General features: G+C 34.0%; 1 protein-coding gene and 1 pseudogene across 9 annotated transcripts in view; one reads left to right on the top strand and one right to left on the bottom strand.

The window, feature by feature from the left end:
- The window catches only part of PDS5B (PDS5 cohesin associated factor B), a 191,568-nt gene continuing 172,281 nt past the window's right edge, over positions 625–19,911 (bottom strand). For 4 of the 9 annotated variants that reach the window (XM_005266298.5, XM_047430186.1, XM_017020448.2 and 1 more), the window contains 7 exons: positions 18,954–19,016; positions 17,924–18,069; positions 14,050–14,155; positions 8,084–8,523; positions 7,883–7,993; positions 5,320–5,455; positions 625–3,627 (listed from right to left, as the gene is read on the bottom strand). In XM_005266298.5, the coding sequence (XP_005266355.1) occupies positions 3,592–3,627; positions 5,320–5,455; positions 7,883–7,993; positions 8,084–8,523; positions 14,050–14,155; positions 17,924–18,069; positions 18,954–19,016 (1,038 nt within the window). In that variant the 3' untranslated portion in view covers positions 625–3,591. The remainder of the gene's footprint in view (positions 3,628–5,319; positions 5,456–7,882; positions 7,994–8,083; positions 8,524–14,049; positions 14,156–17,923; positions 18,070–18,953; positions 19,017–19,911) is intronic. The other 5 variants (NM_015032.4, XM_011534999.3, XM_011535000.3 and 2 more) reach the window with 5 other exon arrangements.
- Positions 15,092–15,206, top strand: RNY1P4 (RNY1 pseudogene 4; annotated as a pseudogene).

Below are 19,911 nucleotides of genomic sequence, written 5' to 3'. Positions count from 1 at the left end.
AAAGATACCAAGTGACATTTTAAATTATAAACCATATCACTTCATCATGAAGATATAACAATCCTAAACTGTATGTTTCAAAGTATATAAAATAACTTCTCCACCTATCATTAGTACTTTCTATCCTGCTTTTCCTTTTTTTCACTGCATTTTTCACAATCTGACATCATATATTAATTTTTTTTTTCTTATTCACCCACCTCTAACATAATGAAAGTACCACAAAAGCAGGGACTTACACTATCTTGATCACACTTTATCCTCTGCAAAACTGAGTAAAATTTTTGAGTGCCTGGCACATAGAAGGCACTCAATAAATGTTTGCTGAACGAATTAATAAAACTGCTACTGGCAACTTATTTATTTAGTGCTTATTTTTAAAGTTTATATTATACATTTATTTTGTTCAGTTACGCAATTATTCAACTTAAATAATACTTAGAATTCTCTGTCCGCCAACATTTTGCATGAGAAGTTTAAACAAAAGGTTTGGAAAAAGTTACTGAGACGTGTTTCCACTTCATGAAACAAAGGCTCCAAAATTAAAAATCATCAAATGTGCCTTTCTCCATTTAGTATTTAAATATATATGTTGATTTACATACACAAAATAATACAACTGTATTAGCTTTTATGTTTATTCAACTTCACAGAAATCCAAAAATGTGTCTGAAAATTGGTTATCTATTTAAATAGCAATTGTTCATTATGGTGACATAATACTATGTGATGGCAGAGATATGCCTAATTTAAACAAATTCTTAAATTCCTGACATTCTTACAAGTGGACAAAAGGAAATCTTAAAAATCAGACTTACAAGTTATAAGAAGATATAGAAAGCAATTTAACCTTTAATACCTGGAATAAGTTTTACAGCCACATTTGTAATTTACATATACAGTGAAGATCACTGAAAAAGCCTCCTGTTGCACTGCAGCAAGAAATTTTATTATAATGTAGATTAAACAAATTTGCTACAGAGTGCAGCAAGATAACCTCACTGAGGAATAAGATTTTCATAATGGAACTTGTTACAGGGAGTTAAATATTTTCTTAATGTTATACAGTACATATTTTCAAAATGAACATTATCACTGAAATAGTTTGCTAACAATTGTTAGCAATTAATGTTTTATACACACTTAATTTTACTGTAAAGTATGTGGCTCTCCAAATCTTACTACATGAAATGTTAAGCTTAAACGTAAGATAATCCCCTAAGATGGAGACTCAAGACATCAAAACTTTGATCATTATTGCACCTATTTTTCTACACAAAAAAAAAAAAAAAGAAAGAAAGAAAAGAAAAATTTACATCGTAATCCACCCAAAAAAAGAACAGACAGGTCGTAAAATTACAGACTCATTGGCATTGAACATAACAAAATCTACAATGAACATTTTTTTGTGAACTGCTGTACAGCATTACAAAAATGTGAAATGAAATTTGCTTAACTATAATCATGCAAATAAAAATCCTTCACAATCACTTTTTCGTATGTTTTATAAAATGTTCTTAATATTTCCATAAACATTTCTGGTGCAATTTAATCAATGACAAAAATACAAAGCTATTCCTTATTCTTTATGTTATAGATTTTAAAACATGCCTTTGTACTGCTGAAACAGAAATTATGTGTTTGGGAGAACCGAGCTAAGGAAACATTTCAAAACCAATGTATGTTGATCCCACCTGAGCTGCTTTGATATATGACAGCCTCTCATAATTACTGGTGTCACTATTGTTGTAAATGAAGAATAGTTGAATATGGAGAGATTAAGACACAATTCAAAACACTTTTTAAAAAATAAATGGCTGTTTCATAAACACAAACAAATCTTTAAAAGAAAAATAATCACATCAATTGCAATATACATTGGCAAATAGTAAAATGTCATTTTCCAAAATAGTAGCTTCTTTATTATATGCCCCATCTATTATAACCAATCTTGGAAATATATCTTAAACATAATGGTGTATCATATGAAAATGTTCCACTATTCAATGTGATAAATTTAATAAGTTAGAATATGATTTTTTCCCCTCTGGTGTTAACCATGAAAAAACATAACAGCACCTAAAATACTAAAATGAAATTAGGTAAGCATTAAGTAGTAACCTATATGTTTTGGTTCAAAATACAGTTTATACAACTGTATAAAGGATACTGCCTTAAGTAATTTATTTCTACATTTTGCAGATTACAATGAAGAAAAAAAAAGACCTGCTCTAAATCCAAATAAATTTCCACTTCTCCCAATCTGGACAAAGTGGAATTTCATTCAAAGTTCACAAGACTGTGACAACTACAGTAGCTGATATACTTGGATATACCACTTCTACGCTGCCCCCACCCCCCAGAATCAATTTTTTGGCTCCAAAATAAAGTACAATAATAAACTCTTGATGAAAAACTATGTTATGGGGCAATCTATCATATACTATGGCTAAATATGAATTTACAGAAAACAGCACATCCCATTTTCAGCACTTTTTTTCAAAAACATGCAACTCACTATAAAATACAAAACACTTGGCTTTCAAGAACAGCTTTATAAAGACACACTGCATCAATAAAATTTTTTCTTTCTGATTAACTTTACACTGTTACGGAGAACTGGAATATTTCTAATGTGTATATATCAGGTTTTATATTATAGTGTAATTTGCATTTTCTGAACATAACGTTCAAGAGGAAATATCTATACACAATAACATTCTAGACTATTAAAAACTCATTCAAATTACAGAATTTTATTGATACAGTAGATTAATAAAAACTGAAAGGATGATAAAATGGGATAAAGAATTCAGTACATTATTTTATAACACACTCTTTAAAATTAAAATACTTTAAATCTTTCTTCTTAAAATTTTCATTGCCATGAAAGGCCAGAAAATTCTGGGACAAATCAATACTGAGGTGTAAAGTAATCCAAGAACTTCAGGACTATTTCACAATTTGCATGGTTGTCCTCCTATCAGAGGCATCCTTCTGGTGTAATGGCAGACAATTTAGCACCTCTGAAGATTAAGGGTGCCCAGGAGTAAACACTAGGTAAGATACACAAAGGGAAGAGACCATTTAACTCTCCAACAAATAGTGACATCAAGAAAATGACACCAATTGTTGAAAACAAATTTTTTTTCACAGTAAAATTGCAGAGAATACAAATACAAACACTGACAGATTACTGCTTAAGATCTATCCTAACAAATTCTTTTCAAATCAATAGATCCAATAAACAGTCGGGTACTGTCAGTTTAAAGCCGCAGATAAAAGCTATACAAGCACTTCAGAAATCAGAAACATTAAAAAAAAGAAAAAAGATATTTACAAGTTTCTTCTTTATGTCTACATAGCCATCGCACATTACACTTTCACAAGACTCCATAGTCAATGTTACCATGTGTATGGCTAAAGCATGTGACCACAAATGTATGGGGTCACCAAAGTAAGGTCCAACTGTCCACTCTTCAGCAGTCCCATTTTGTGCATCAAAGGCTTTATTCAGCCTCAAGCTTGACCAAAAAAAAAAAAAAAGATTTTTCCAAAGCTTTCACAGAGAAAGTTATTAATTACATTTGTTCATCGCCGTTCCCTTTTAGCACTTCGCCGCCGTACCTTAAAAGGAAAGTCACCAGATGCTTAATTAAAATGGGTATATGTGCATAAGATATGCAGTAATCATTTTTAACTAATCTTTATTCTCATTTGTTCCTGATTTTCTTTGCTTTCCTTTCCCTGAAACTTTTTATCCTTACTTTCTGCCCTGGCATCACATATTTAGACCTCTATAACATTTGATCCCTTACAGGCTCACAGACTTCCCCAGAACAGTGAAAGAAAAAAATTATTTTACTTTTCTATCTAATAATTTTAAAGAGAAATGAACAGAAGTCAATGTCTACAGCAAGAAAAATAACTCAAACAGATTAATCATCTTTCTACTTATGTTTCCTGTGGTAAATGAAAACATTTCACATTTATGAACTTACATTATCTTTCTGGGAAAGCAGTTACTGAGTTTGGATCTTAACAATTATCAATACAGTAAAATAACCTAAAATTCAAACATATTATCATTTGCTGACAAGCACTAATGAAAGCATAAAACTTTAGTTCAAAAAATGTCAATATTAACAATAGGAATATAAAAGAGGGTTTTAATTTACATGTAGTTTTTCTCTGATGAAGACATCAATCGTTACTGACTCTTCAGACTTACTTTGATGTCCTCCCCAAAACCCTTTAAGAAACAAGCCAAACTAATTTGAGGTCACAATTATGCATATTTTCCTGTGTACTTAACTCGCTTATTCACAAATATGAATCCTGGTACAGATAGGAGTTCTGATTCCATTAAACAGGACAGAACAGCAGAGACCAATTCTGAGACTTGATTATAGAGCTTGGGTTTCTCAAACAAAGATAGGAGAAGAGCTTCTACTTAAATGTATTATGTTTTTTCCTAAGAGAAATATCTGAGTTGTATTAACTGGTAAAGTTATTTATTTATTACTTTAAAAGTCAAGAAGGGCCGGGTGCAGTGGCTGATGCCTGTAATCCCACCACTTTGGAGGCCAAAGCAGGCAGATCACTTGAGGTCAAGAGTTCGAGACCAGCCTGACCAACATGGTAAAACCCTGTCTGCACTAAAAATACAAAAACTAGTCGGGCACAGTGGCATTGGCCTGTAATCTCAGCTACTTGGGAAGCTGAGGCAGGAGAATTGCTTGAATCTGGGAGGCAGAGGTTGCACTGAGCCCAGATCGTGCGCCACTATACTCCAGCCTGGGTGACAGAGTGAGACTCTGTCTCAAAAACAAAAAAGTCAGGAAGTAACACATACCTACTTTTGCAAAATAAGTATGTATTACCAATTTTATGAATTCTCATTCAGCTCAAACTTCAATTCCAAAGGCTGATTTTATTCTGTGTAACTAACTTCTAATTTCTATTATGAAACCCAAATAGAAATACCAAACGGAGAGTTGTAAAATATAAACAACAGTATACTTAATGGGTATCAGTGCCCTAAAATCAAGGTACAACTTACATGCTTAAAGTGTCAATATTAGAATGCTGTACATTCAGTTCAGACTTGACATTTACATTCTCATTAAGCTACACCTATTTGCTTAGTTTCGGGTTTCCATAAAAGATGTTCTCCATTATCCAACCTGGTAGATAAAATGATGCTATGAACTAATGAAGTAAAACATATAAATACTAAACAAGTACTAAATGATCTAACCAAACATTTACTAACTCTTTTTATATCCCACACCACTCACAGAAACTTTGAACACATACATTTACTGTAGAAACTTCCTCCTCCTCTGTTTCTTCCTGTGGAATATCATCGACAGGAGAGCTACCCTGAAACACATCTACTTCTTCACTTGAATCATTTTCCTTAGTAGCTGCTTGTTTGGAGCGTCCTACACGGCTAGAGTAAAACACATGTAAAACACAATGAACGTTCCAATCTTTCAGTAGATTACCTCGTTAGAAGAAATGTTTCACGTATTTCATCGTCATATCATCTTTACCCTCAGTTACTTTATGAGACAAGAACATTTCTTTAATATTCTGAATCCTAAACCAGCATTTAATCATAGAATGTTACATATTATCTACCAAGTAACAACAAAAAAATGTGACTGAGAACATACCATAACCTAAAGTCTGCTCTTCCTTTCATCTTTCCTAACACAGTAAAAGGCATCTATGTCTACTGAGCTGCTCAAAGCAGAAAGGAATTCTGCTTTGAATATAGTGTACCTGTCTTTGTCTGGCCTTATAGATTCTTATGGAGATCTCAAATCCATTCACTTCTCTCCACATCTCCATTGCTACCACCTAATTCAAACCATTCCCATCTCTTGCCTCTTCTCTTTACAAAGTTATCTTTTAAAAGTACAAGAACAGATGATGTTACTGCTCCCTACTGAGCTGAGAATAATTTTGTAAACCTCCTTAACAAAGTATACAAGGAACAGTAGATGGTCCTTGCCTACCTGTCCACTCTCATCTCTTTCTGCTCCCCAACTCCCCACAACTACAATCCAACAAACCCTTGCCTTCCTTTAGCTTTCTGATTTTGCCAAGTTATTTTTCACTTCAGAAACTTCAAATATAGTGTTCATGCCACCTGTTCTCTGCCTGTCTAGCCCCTACTATTCTCAAGATATCAACTCATTGTTACTTTTAAAGAAAAAACTTCCTCACTCCATTAGATGGTGGAAAACAAGAACCACGAGCCCATGAAAACAAGTACCACGTCTGTTTTGTGTCCCTAGCACCTAGTACTCTCTGAAACACAGGAGGCATCAAAAAATATGTAATAGAACCATCTAATCAAATGGATCCCTCTTGATAAATCTTTATTTTTTAAAATTAGAAACATAACATCACTTCTATAAGCAATCCAAAATATGTATTTTTTTAACTCACGCTCGAACCAAACAATTTTTTTACTTGGTTTGGTTTTTCGAGATTAATGAAACTATAGAAATAACATGAAACATAATGACAATCTTTTTCAATTTCACTGAGGTCAGAACAAGAAAAAGAAACAAATCCTAACATATGTTAGTATACTAGCTCTAGAAAGAGCTTCCCAGTGAAAGGAAGATAGGCTTCCAAGACAGACTACAGAATCTTCTTCCATATCAATTTTTTTTTTTTTTTAAGAAATACTTGTTTGGTTTAGAACATTCATAGGACTTGTGTAATTTTAGGAGAGCACAATAATCATTTAAACCCTGAATTTTATGATGTCCAAATATAAACAAACTAAAATTATGAGGTTTGTTATTTCCTTGTTACATCATTCATGTGTATTTTATTAAATAAAGGATTCCTTAAGAATCCTTTGTTTAGAAATAGTGATTTGGTTGAATCCAAACACATTTATAAAGCTGCCACAAAAATGTACTTACCTTTACTTTTAACCTGATAGAAAAATTACATGGAAGATGGCATGAAGTACTGGCTAGACACCCAGGCAACTTTTCCTCTTCCTGTGGAATACACAGGAATAGGAAAATCTCTAAGATAATTGAGTATTTAATGACAGTACATTGGCAACTCTGAAAAGTCGAGCCATGATGTAATTATGTATGGGTGGGATTACTCTCAGAAAAAGTGTTAAATTTCTGACTAATAGAAGACATGCTACTCTATTTCCACTCACATAACTAAGGAGAAAAAACACTGTCAGATCTGCAAATTACAGCAGTGATACTCTGGTGACACTAAAATTTGAGGTACAGATTCTTACTGTACCTCTCTTATAAATGTGTTTGTGTGAACATCTAAAACTATATACATGTTGATGTAGATAAATGAACTGGGTTAGAAAACAAACAAAATCAAGATATCAAACACTTGAGACCAACATGTGTTAATTTCTATGGATATAATTTTTAAAAAATGGTACCTGTTACTTTCCTACTACAAGTTCAAAGAATAAAAGCAGAAGCATAAGACCTATTTTCCTTTTTTTAAAGGAAAAGGTGCTAATGAGAAACATTTAAAAAAAAAATTGTAGTGTGGAATGACAAGGCAACCTGGTCAATGTGTGGTGATTATTTAAAAATACCTTATGATTTCTTTAGATATCATAAAGTCTGTATAGGAAATAATATACTATTTGGTATTCATTTATGAAGATTTGCCTGCACCTGTAAAAATGTACAAGATAGTTTATTGAGATATCAATCACTAAGGTAAGTTTATAAAAATTTTATCTTACCTAGTGTAATGGGGCTAAATATATGGAATTTAAATACAGCAATATGTATGTTTACAAATTTAGGAACTTTTGCAAAATAATTTGAAATTGGTTTGAAATGTAATATTTACAACTTACACATTTTTTTTTGGTTGTGATGGTGATGGCGTTTTTGATGGTCTTCCTCGTCCTTTCTGTGGTGTGGACTGTGTGGATTCAATTGCACTAGATTCAGGAGATTCTGCTCTGCTTTGGGGAAGACCCAAATGTGGATAGCATCAAATTATGATTTATAATATAGTAACGAAACAGATGCAGTTTAGAGTTACACATGCTTACCTCTGCTGTGCTCTCCTTGACACTCGGTGCTGTTTGCTTTTGGACTTCTGTTCCGTATTTCCACTTTGTCTTTCTTCTTCTTCCTCCTCCTCTGGTGCTGGAGGTCCAGATTTTTTTTTGCTTCCTTTTTTAGAAGTTTTCATTGTTGGCTCTTCTTTTGGTGTACCTCCACCAAGAGGTTTTGGTGGTCGGCCTCTTTTACCCTTTTTTGGCGGACTATTCTGTTCATCTTCATTTTCTAATATATCTTCTTTGAGCCTCTTTTCCTCAGGCCACTGCTGTTCATCAGATTCTGAAGCCGTATGGCCTCTTTTCCGACTTCGCTGACTGCCTTTAGGTTTCTGTTCCTGTACCAACTTAGTCAAGTCATCCATACCTAATTTCTCCTCCTGTTCTGTGACGGGCGTTTTTTTCCTGCCTCTAGGCTTCTCCAATTCAGACTAGGGGAAAAAAAAAATCACAATTTATGGTTATGAAATTGTGAGTATACATATTTTGAGGAATGAAACAAAAAAATCTGTTATCTAATGTTGTCCTAGATATGTACCTAAAATATACAGCTCTTAAATACACCAGAACTGTATTTATTTGCTTTTATTATAGTTTTTAATTTTAAAAACTTATCTGGGATAAAAGGGTACATTTGCACTCTTACTTTTCAGCTAGAGTGTCTTAAAAGGAAACCTCTCAAGATCAGTATCTTACTAAATTATAAATTTTAGTGAAGAGCTATCTCATTAAAAAGAGCATTATAAATTCAGTGCTTGGTCCTAAATGACAACTATACTAAAGTATCTGTTTGGATAGTCAATTTAAGTAATTCTAATTTTACCACATAGTGCGTAAGACATAAAATATTAACTATATGACATGCTTACAACATCATAAAAGAACTATTATTTTACAAATGGAGGTTGCAAGATACAAAAGGTAAACATATTCATCATTTATTATAAATTTTGGAAACACTTCTGAATTAGAAATACTGCTTCTTTCTAGGTATAACTAACTGATTAACAACAGAAACAACAAAAAACCAGTGGCTTTCACATTTAAAATAAAATCCTAGTCTATATTCAGAGAATCTATATGTGAACCAGCGTGAAGGCTGAAGAAATTCTCCAAAGACCCAAGAATAAATTGTATGTATGAACACTTATAATACAAAGTTAATTTCCAAAAGTCTGCGCAATTTATATTTTCAAAAATCACTGAAAACAACAAAAACTATCGAATTATCTGTAACTTTTTCTAACTTTAAATTGAGCTTCCTGTATGTGAACTGCCTAATTACATCCTTCGTATTGTGTCCTTTGTCAACTTTGACTACTGCGGTGTTAGTGGGTTTTCTCTATATTCCTCTATGCTTTTGTGTATGCCTCTATGCTTATTTTTAAGTGTTATTTCTTTATTATTAATATTATCTTTTATTATTTTTGAGATGGAGTCTCACTCTGTCACCCAGGCTGGAGTGCAGTGGCACCATCTCTGCTCACTGCAAGCTCCGCCTCCCAGGTTCACGCCATTCTCCTGTCTCAGCCTTCTCCCGAGTAGCTGGGACTACAGGTGTCTGCAACCACGCCTGGCTAATTTTTTTTTTTTTTTTTTTTTTTGTATTTTTTTAGTAGAGACGGGGTTTCACCGTGTTAGCCAGGATGGTCTCAATCTCCTGACCTTGTGATCCGCCCGCCTCGGCCTCCCAAAGTGCTGGGATTACAGGCATGAGCCACTGCACCCAGCTTTTTTTTTTTTTCTTTTTTTTTTTTTTGAGACAGAGTCTCGCTCTGTCACCCAGGCTGGAGTGCAGTGGGTCAATCTTGGCTCACTGCAACCTCTGCCTCCCGGGTTCAAGCGATTCTCTTGCCTCAGCCTCCCGAGTAGCTGGGACTAGAGGCATGTGCCACCATGCGTGGCTAATTTTTGTATTTTTAGCAGAGATGGGGTTTTGCCGTGTTGGCCAGGCTGGTTTCAAACTCCTAAACTCAGGTGATCCGCCTGCCTCGGCCTCCCAAAGTGCTGGGATTACAGGTGTCATTGCACCTGTCCTTTAAGTGTTATTTCTTACTTGCTTTGGACTGAATTGTGGCCCCCACCACCAAAGAAAAAAATTGTATGTTCAAGCTCTAATCCCAATGTGACAGTATTTGGAGATGGGGCCTTTGGGAGGTATTTCGTTGAGATGAGGTCATGAGGTGGCACCCTCATGATGAGATTAGTGTCCTTATAAGAGGAAACATCAGTGAGCTTGGGTGCCTTTCTTCTTCCTCCCACCCCACACCTCTCATGTGAGGACACAGGAGAAGGTGGCATCTGTAACCCAGGAAGACAGCCCTCATCAGGAACCAAATCTGCTGGCACCTTGATCTTGTACTTCCAGCCTCCAGAACTGTAAGAAAATATAGTTCTGTTGTTTAAGCTACCCAGTCTGTGGTATTTGGTATTTTATAATGGCAGCTTGAGCTGACTAAGACATTATTGTGTATTGTTTTAGAACAGAATGTGAGATGAGATTCTAAACTGGATTTTCCACTCCCAAAGACACATCCAACCATTTCAGAATCAATGATTTGTAGTGCTTCCTTTATTTTATATGTTTTGAACAAGAATAATATTTCTGGGCTATCATAACAGAAGCACAATATTTTACTAAGTATAATTATGTATCTGGTAGGGCTGAACCTACCTTTATTTCTCCTCCTTTTATATTTATTTATTCCTCCACATAGACTTGAAACAAAACCATGCTGGAATTTTGCAATTATATATTCAGTTGAAAAAAACTTTCATCCTTTTTTATTCCTTTCTCCTATACAAGAACATGGCCTGTCTTCTCTCTCTTCAAGTCTTCCAGTTTTGAGATTTTCTACATATAGGTCCTCCCTATCTCAGTTTTGAGATTTTCTACATATAGGTACTCCCTATTTCTTTTAAAGGTTATATTTAAATCTATGAATCTGTCAATCAGTCAATCTATGTTTGTTGTTGCACTGGTTCTTGTGATGAAGAAAATAATCCCTTTTCCCCTAAATGTACATCTGATACAAACCAAAATTATCAGAGTAATGTTAGTTACAAACATAAATATATACATAGGTAGGGATAGATTTTCAATTGCTTCTTTTATTTTTCTAAGATTACAAAAATAACAATTGGTCAAACATTCTAGAGCAATTTTTAAAAACAGTGGTGACAGCAGGTTGCTTGTTTTGTTCCTGATTTTTAAAAAGAATGCTTCAAGTATTTTGCCTTTAGGAAGAATGGCATTGACTACTGATTTAAAATAGACAAAACTTTTAGCACATTAAAGATGTATCCTTCTGGTACTAGTTTACTAAAAGTTCCTATTTGTCAAGAACGGATCTTAAGTTTTATTTATGTCCTCTTGGCATGATCTGAAATTATTTTGTTTTTGGTTTTCCCTTTGGTTTATTTAATATACTATCATAGTAAAAGATTTGGTAACATTAAGCTATCCTTACATTCTAAGGAGAGGGGAAGATCTATACATGACTGGATTTAGTTTGTTTTATTTATTTAGAGTTTTGTGCACAAATTAAAAATTAACTGTTTTTACTCAAAGATAAGAAGGTAAAAGAAATGTTAAATTAGAACTAAATTTAAAATGTCACTTCTTATTTTAATTACTATAATTCTTTTTGATGTCCAAAGATCTAAAAAGGTAGATGATTTCCTTTAAGCTCTGGAAAAGGTTGGTGGTAAAAAGAAAACCCAATGTCTACTTTCTTGAGAATACTAATCTAGTTTCCTAAAGCACCACTACTTATTTCTTTTTCATTTTGCATTGCACTGTTTTAAGAACAGAGGGAGTATAAAACCGAGGTTAGAAGCAAAAGACAGGAAAATATTTTATTTATAAAGCTAAATATTTAAATACAAACGTATATGGAAAATAATTCCTTTGCTGTGAAATTTCAATGAGAAGCTGGTAACAAGCAAATGAGACCGTGCTCTTTCATTATAATCTACTGGTCTTTAAATTCAACTTGTGTCTCATAATACTCATCTCTCTGAGGGCACTTCAGTCAAAACTAGCTTATTAATAAGATTCTTCTAGCACCTCTAAAACTGGACCTAACGTTACACATTATCCATGCCACAACAAATAGCAAAAGGCCTCCATTACAATCATACTAATAGGTCTCAAGAGCTCAAAAATTCAAAACAGTTCTATGAAAAATAGAGTAGACTTTGTTCTGTACTATCCCAAAAGGTAAAAGCAGATGCAAAATTTATAGGATAACAGAATATTAAGAATTAATAAAAACCATGTTTCCCAACTTTTGGGGGATGGGAACACCAAGGTATAAGTGTAGTACACTATAGGTGTGGGTATGAGTGACCTAGTTGACTTTTCCAACAAATGAAATACATCATGAGCTCTCTGCTTAAAGCATTTTCAACGTGGTGACCAGCTCTCATTAATAATAAAGGAATTTCTGCAGTAAGTGAGAACTAAGAAGACATAATACCTTTTCCAATTCAAGGATTTTCTTCTGTAAATCCAGATAACAAGATTGTTTCCAAGCTAAGTGATCAATTCTTAATTTTGCTCATGTGAAAATTTTAAACAGCCAATAAACATCGTAACTTACAGTATACATAGTTAGAATTCAATAAAATTTTAGAATAATTCTTTCACAGCGGGCAGTATGGCTCAAGCCTGTAATCCCAGCACTTTGGGAGGCCAAGGCAGGCAGATCACCTGACATCAGGCGTTTGAGACCAGCCTGGCCAACATGGTGAAACCCCGCCTTTAAAAAATACAAAAATTGGCTACGCATGCTGGCACATGCCTGTGGTCCCAGTTACCCAGGAGGGTGATGCAAGAGAATCACCTGAACCCGGGAAGCGGAGGTTGCAGTGAGCCCAGATCGTGCCACTGCACTCCAGCCTGGGCGACAAAGTGAGACTGTGTCTCAAAAAACAAAACAAAACAAAACAAAAAAGAATAATTCTTTCTAAATGGAAATAAACACTCTGCCAAAATAAGTTATTGGAGAAACATGAAAATAAACTTCTTGGCATGTGTAATGCTGGACTCGTGGAAGATGGGCAGTAATATTTTAGAGAAAGTAAAAGTAATTATTTCTTGGTTAACCTCTCACCTCTCTTAATCACGTAGATTCGAACATTTTAACTTTTATTATTATGATAACCATAATCAAAAGTCGTAACAATGAAACAGCAGCAGCAATTCATTTTGGCTAAGTCACTTACTCTGATAAAGCTTACCAGCTAAGTATCCATAATTTACATACAGATAAGAAAATTGATTCTGATAGCCTAATTAGTTATTAAGGAAATGATCTGAAGCTGAACTGTAAAGTCAAAACAAACCCAGTTAAGTCCATTGAGTTGTGTTAGAAGACATAACTGTATTTTGTGTCTATGCTAAAACTTAACAAATTTGTCTTAAAACAACACAAACTGTCTATCATACAAGTTATCATTTTATCATTTCTATTAAGATTTAAAAACTGAACAAGGACTTGACGAGAACTATAGCATTTTCTACCTTTAACAGCAGCTTATTTAGTAAAAGGCTCAAGAAATAAATTAAATGAAAGAAGTTTTAAGGGTCCTCATTCCATTCCCCTTCTCTAAGGCTAAGTCTAAATATCCTATGTTAACAAAAACAACAACAACAACAAAACCACAAGCAAATGAGGAAAACAATACAAAAACCAAGCAGTTGAGTATGCAACTGGCAAGTCTAATACCAAAAATCTGAACAATTGAGATTACTTATCACATTGATAAGAAGCACAGATTCTATATACTTAAATTACATAGAGGATAATTATAAACTCAGGTTTGTGGTTAAAACCACTAAAATAAAATAAAATAAAATGTAAATTTGATAGTCATGTTAACTGGTTTCAGTGTAAACATTACTAAGTAAAATTATCATTAATATTATTATAAAATCAATGCAAATATCTCACCCTTACAAGATCAGAGTCGTCTCTCTTGTCACTTTTTTTCCCCGGCAAAGGTGAAGACATTGTGTAATCTTCATTTTCACTGTGATCCATTTCAGAACTATCAAGCCTTTTAATACAGACATTTGTAATTGTTATTACAATCAAATAACCTTACAAGCTTTTTCTGTTCCTAGTGTAGCTTTACAGATTTATGGAAAAAATTTCGTTCTTTTCAAAAATGAATCAGTTTCATTCTACCATATTTGGTACCAACTCAACAAGCAATGAAGCTCATTTAATTTAATATAGTGAGAAAATTTTAAAAATCAAAAATTTAAATCTAATATTTTTCTAAGTCTTTTTAAAACCTAAATTCTATTTTGGGGTCAGATCATAGAACCAATTAAAACTTTTCTCGTTGGCAGTTTAGCTTGGTCTACACTGCAACCTGCCCTGGTTCCTTACCCTATTCTATTTTTTCTTCTCTCTGTAGCATTTAACACCCTCTAACACACTATAATTATTACATTTATTACGTACTGACTGCCTTCCCGTTAGAATATAAGCATGAATCTTGTGTCAATCAATTTTACTTACCAATGTATGCCAAGCACTTAAATCAGTGCCAGGCATAGAGTTGGCATTCATATAAAGGTCCAGGCCTCTGTCCTGGGTGGTCTCACCTTTATCTAGTTTTTAAAACTATTTATATGTTGTTGAACTCTAAATCTCAATCTCTGGTCCAGCTACGCTGAGTTCTAAACTCACATATCCAATTGTCTACTCAACACTTCACTTGAAATTCTAATAGGCACCTGATCTTTAATGTAGCCAAAACAGTTATTTGAACACTCTTCTTATTTCCACTTCCCCAAAACACATACATACAAACAGAGCCTGTTCTTCCTCAAGGCTTCTGTATCTCAGTAAACGGTACCACCATCTCTCCAGTTATTCAGGTAAAAAGCCCAGGATACACCCTTAAATCGTCCCTTTCCCTAACTGTTCACATCTAATCCATTAGAAAGATCATCTGATCTATCTAACATCAAAATAAATCTGAGGGTGGTCGAAAGGCAGTGAGTTATTCTCAACTGATTGCTCATGGTTAGTTAGACATCAAACTCCTTGTTTTAACTCACTCCTCCCTTCTCACTACTGCATTTCACTACTCTTAAAAAAAAAATCTGAAATTTGACTATTTACCATCTTCTTCCCTCTTCATCCCTGCCATAGATTATGATTCGCTGACTCCTAATTGCTTTTTCTACCTCAATTCTAGCTCCTCTATAGTACATTCTGCACAAATCATCAGGGCAATTTTTTTTAAAAACCACAAATGAGATTGCTAGACTCCCTGGCAAATCTTTCAGTTGCACTTAAAATCAAATCCAAACTCCTTACCATGGTTTACGAAGTCCAAACATAATCAGACTACCTCTCAACTTCCTCTCATAATTTTTCCCTCATTCCTACTCTCCAACCAAACAGGTTTCTCAAATATACCTACTTCATTCCCCTGCAAACAGTCCCACTAAACAGACGGAATTTGGAAGAAAAAAATAACAAAACAGATTGGTCAAACATTGAAAGAAAGTTTAAAGAAAACTATATTGAAAAAGTATAAATTAGGATACTTTTGTGTTGAATAACAAATGGATGATAAGGAGAGGGTGAAATTATACTTGTCTTGAAAGCAAACAAGGGAAGCCAATTAAGATCTCTGAGCAATGAAATAACATCACGACAGTAGTATTTTTAAAGGATTATCTAGCAGTGATACAATATACACAATTGAGAGGAATAAGGAAGTAAACTAGTCAAATACGACAATAATTAAAGAAAGAAAATGAACTAAATGATGACAGTAAAAAGAGAAGTACAAAACATTGCACAGAAAAAAAGTTAGCAAAACTTAGCAACTGAAAAAATATAGAGGGGGGAAGAGTCAAACACAATTTCGAGGCTTTCTGCCTGGGTGAATTAGATCATCTTTGATTATAATAAGGAATTCAAGGAGAAAAACCAGTAATTTAGAAAATGAGTTGATGGAAATGTTTCTGGTCATGTTAAATATGAGACCATTTGATAGAAAATGTCCAACTGATATAACTAAAGGGTCACTTTGGTATTAGCCACTAACATGCATTAATACAGGAATCTAGAACAAACAAAAGCTATAAATGCAATTTCTTTTATTTCTATCATACTATATATCATTCAACAATTTATTCATTATAAGAAATTTGGTAAGATTTCATAGAATGTCACCTACCTTCTTTACTGATTGGTTATCAACAATGAAAAAGACAGTACAGTCTTTTAATAATAACTTGGCAAAAATCAATAAATAGTGGCAGTTTAGCCCTATACAATGCTCTGTGCTAACAAATCGTGCCCTAAGCACTTATGCTAAAACCAGTGAAAGGATGAATTAATTTTCCTTTTGTTTTTCTCAAAGAATCATTTTAAAAACTCTTCTTTAATGAGCAAAGGACATGAACAGACACTCCTCAAAAGAAGACAAATGGCCAACCATTAAAAAATGCTCATCATCGCTAATCATCAGAGAAATGCAAATCAAAACTACAACGAGATACCGTCTCACATCAGTCAGAATGGCTATTACTAAAAAGTCAAAAAACAACAGATGCTGGTGAGGCTGCAGAGAAAACAGAACGCTTATATGTTGTTGGTGGGAATGTGAATTAGTTCAGCCACTATGGAAAACAGTTTGGAGATTTCTCAAAGAACCTAAAACAGAACTACCATTTGATCCAGCAATCCCACTACTGGTTATATACCCAAATGCAAATAGATCATTACACCAAAAAGTCACATGCACTCATCTGTTTAATGCAGCACTATTCACAATATCAAAGATATGGAATCAACCTAGGTACCCATCAATAATGGACTGGATTAAAAAAATGAAGTTCATATATACCATGGAATACTACGCAGCCATAAAAAAGGATGAAATCATGTACTTCACAGCAAGAAGGCCACAGTCCTGAGCAAATTAACACAGGAACAGCAAACCAAATACTGCATGTTCTCACTTATAAATGGGAGGGAACATCAAACACACATGGGTATACACATGGAAACAACAGACAATGCGGACTACTGGGGGAGCTGGAGAAAGGAGGATGTGGGCTGTAAAACGACCTATTGGGTACTATACTCACTATCTGGATGCAATATACCCATGTAACAAACCTGCACATGTACCCTCTGTATCTAAAATAAAAGTTGAATTTAAAAAAAACAAAAAAGCAAAAACACACTTTTAAAAAAACGAAGTTTATATATGTACGTGGTACTATACAAATAAATTCAAATGATACCAAAAAGTATAAAATAACCTCCCTTTCTATACTAGGTTAACATAAATACTGTTAAGATTTTGCATATTCTTCAAAAAAACTTTCTATGCATATAAAAACAAATGTGAACATTAATCTGTTTTCAAAACTTAAAGATTCCATAATGCTGCTTTATATACTTTGCCTTTTTCACTCAATAATGTATTGTGGAAACTCTTCCATACTAACTCAGACCTCATCATGTTTAATGACTATGTATTCCATTGTATCATACACCATAATACAACAGTTTTACAATTGCTACACACTGAGGTTGGAAACTAGTTTATGTGTACTAACACAGATTACCCCCAACAAGCTAAAGAATGAAAGACTAAGACAGAGCACCCATCCAAAATGAGCAAGCAAATAAGTATGAACTTGTGACTACCAATGTTAAATGGAAAAATTAAGTAATACATTACTTTCCATTTACTGACATGAAACATTTTGGATTATATTATTTCAGATCTCATAGCCTTGCTGGAATCCTTAAATGTAAATTGTGGCATTTCTTTTGCACTTACCTCCCCTTTATTCTTCCAGGAGAGCTTGGATTTGAGCTGCTGCTTGCATTGCTTACAGTTTCCATTCGTGATGATTTGGTCTGAGATTGCTTGCCTGCTGATGAAAGTGGCTTGTTAACAGCTCCTAGAACATTGGTTGTTTTAGGCTGAAATGAGAAATGCACATCTCTTTTTATTTGGTTAAAGCCAAAAGAAAGTTACGTGTAAAGAACCATAAATAACATCTCTCTCAAAGTATTTACTTACAAATCATGAAAAATGTGTCTATCCTTAAGCAAAGTAATAAGTATAAACTAAATATCACTTGAACAAATTAAAAACTATACAGACAGCATAACAGTTGAATTTCTTAGTTATCTGGAGAAAACGGCTTACATAAAAAGTGAGAACAAATGAAATGAATAATCAACAATGAAAATAGATAATTAGACTCTTGCCATGGAAAGACATAAGAATATGCTTTTTTGGCCGGGTGCAGTGGCTCACGCCTGTAATCCCAGCACTTTGGGAGGCCAAGGCGGGTGTATCACGAGGTCAGGAGATCGAGACCATCCTGGCTAACACAGTGAAACCCCGTCTCTACTAAAAATACAAAAAATTAGCCAGGCGTGGTGGCAGGCACCTGTAGTCCCAGCTACTCAGGAGGCTGAGGCAGGAGAATGACTTGAACCCAGGAGGCGGAGCTTGCAGTGAGCCGAGATGCGCCACTGCACTCCAGCCTGGGCAACAGAGACTCCGTCTCAAAAAAAAAAGCCTTTTAAGATTTTTTTTATCTTGATATTAACCTAAGAAGTCTAAGAATCAGGTCTCCTAGGACTTTATTACAAGCTAAAAAGTAATTTGTGTATTTCAGCTTGTGTATATCTAGTAAATATAATTATTTCTTACTAGTAAATGTAAGATCGTTAATTCTTATATTTTCCAGCTTGAAAATATAAATTTTTGAAGAAATACAAAATAACACAATTTTGCCAATAATCACTCTAAAATAAGCTACCACATAAAAATTAAAATGATTCTCAAAACATACTTTTCCAGGAGTGAAAAATGATTTCATTTCAGGAGGCAGATAATTTTTGGTGTTACTGAAATTCTACAACCAAGAGAAAAAGAAGTAGTCAGTGAATATTAAAACACTATCTACAGGTGGTTCAAAAGCCAACAAAGCAAACAGCAGTTTTTTTATTTAAACTAAATTATCATATGAAACACAAAATTTCAGTCACTGATTTTAACTACTGTAATAAGGTTAAACCAACCTCATGCCAACTCTAATATTAACAAAACATATTTGAGCTCTAACATGTTAGAGCTCTAAGAGTGCATCAGAAAACACATGCTTCTTTAATAACACCCTTCAGGGGAAAGACCACATGTACATATTCCTATTACTCTGCTCACACCAACGTGACAGCCCTTTTAGCTACTGAGCAATCCTACAGGCCTGTTCCAAATCTCTATACACTGGTAAGGTCTTAACTGGCATTTTGCTTTAAAAGCAAAAAGAGGATAGTGGTTATTTCCAGACTCTGTTACTCAATATGTTCAGCTAAATTACGAGGAATTAAATAAATAAATTATAAAGGAGTAAGAGGGACTGTGGGAAACACTTTTTACATCTTATATCACACTCGAGTTTTTGGAGCATGGTTTGGTAACACTCTTGTAGTATTCCCAGGGTCTTAGGCATGTTCTAGTGTCTGTTCTCTGCTTGTTTCCTCATACCAATTATAAATCCCAATAAAGGGCTTTTAACTTCAGACTGTATCTCTATCAGCACTCTCCTTCCCATTTTGAACAATGGCCATTAATTCACAGATTCACATGCTTTGATCACATTTCTACCTGCGCTCTAAGACTGTCTTAAAACTGAACATAAACACCAGATCATCCTAATATCTGAACCTTATGTGTGTCCTCCAGTTTGACTCATATTCTGGTTCTGATCTTAAATCACATTCTTAAGACTCACAGCAATTTTTCCATGA

The sequence above is a fragment of the Homo sapiens genome, chromosome 13 (genome assembly GCF_000001405.40).
Source record: "Homo sapiens chromosome 13, GRCh38.p14 Primary Assembly".
Lineage (NCBI taxonomy): Eukaryota > Metazoa > Chordata > Mammalia > Primates > Hominidae > Homo > Homo sapiens.
This window is presented reverse-complemented; position numbering and strand designations above follow the sequence as displayed.